This window comes from Homo sapiens, chromosome 2 (assembly GCF_000001405.40).
Source record: "Homo sapiens chromosome 2, GRCh38.p14 Primary Assembly".
Lineage (NCBI taxonomy): Eukaryota > Metazoa > Chordata > Mammalia > Primates > Hominidae > Homo > Homo sapiens.
The window spans coordinates 86,011,568-86,012,620 of NC_000002.12; the positions used below are offsets into that span (position 1 = coordinate 86,011,568).

General features: G+C 60.5%; 1 annotated feature.

Annotated features, from left to right (window-relative positions):
• Positions 553-1,053: an enhancer, noted in NCBI's record as "H3K4me1 hESC enhancer chr2:86239243-86239743 (GRCh37/hg19 assembly coordinates)". NCBI's record gives its function as "activates a minimal SCP1, AML or CMV promoter by ChIP-STARR-seq in primed H9 embryonic stem cells {active_cell/tissue: H9 hESC(primed)}" and the evidence as "EXISTENCE:reporter gene assay evidence [ECO:0000049][PMID:30033119]".

Genomic DNA, 1,053 nt, shown 5'->3' on the forward strand with positions numbered 1-1,053 from the left:
CTCATAAAGTGAGTCACCCAGGATCCTTCTCGCAGGACTGGGGCATGCCAAAGAGCAGGCTTTGAGTGTAGGTAGACCTGGCCGCCTCTCAGTGCACCTCTGATGGCACCAGCTCCTGGGCAGGGAGCTGTTCCCCCAGGGCACTGGCATCTGGGCAGGGCCAAGGAAGTCCTCACCTCTGTGACTCTGCTCCCAGGCACTCGACATCCTTCTTGGCTGGGAAAGTGTGACCTCCAGGAAAATGCTGGGGACGTGCAGAGGCCAGCGCCCTCTGCATGGGTCTCCTGGGAGGCCTGTGAGGGGCCTGGGAAATGATCACAGGCTTTTCCCAGCCTTCCTTCATCCTTGGGAAATTCGCTGAAGGCCAGTCCCCTGTTGAGTGTGGGGCTCTAGGCCCTCTTGGGTCCTGAGCAGAGCTGGGCCCCACTCCTTTCTCTCCCAGCAGTGACCGTAAGACACTGCCCCCAAGTGAGGAGAGGGACCCCTGTGTGAACCGGCTGCAGGAAGCCCTTGCTCCTTTCTCAAGGCTGCGAGCCAAAGAGAGCAGGCTCCTGGGGCTGTCTCTTCACTATCCAGTCCAGCCCTAACAACCTACTCCTGCTTGGGTCTCCCCGCCCCCTACCCTCTGCCCTGTGCTCCCACCATCCACTTCAGGCGAAAGGGAGAGTGTGCTGTCCTGTACATGCTCACACATTCCTGTGCCTATTACCTGGCCCCTCACCTGGAAGGCCTGTCTTTGATCTTCCACCTAGACAGAGTTGCCCCCCTCTGGCCCTCCCAACATGCAGCTGACCCAGGATGGTCCTGCAGCCCACAATGGCCTCGATGAGCACATCTCACAGGGCTAGGTAGGGGGCACTGGCAGAAAATTAGCACCCAATGGGGAGAGGCTGCAGCAGGACCAGAGCAGGAGCATGGCCAGGGCAGGATGCCCACCTGCAGCCGTCCCCAGGGGGCTTGGCCATGTGGCATGCGCTGCTGGTGGAGGAAGCTTGGCTGAGCATGGGGGCAGGGGAACAGGCCCCCACACACACTCAGATGCACGTTTACAAT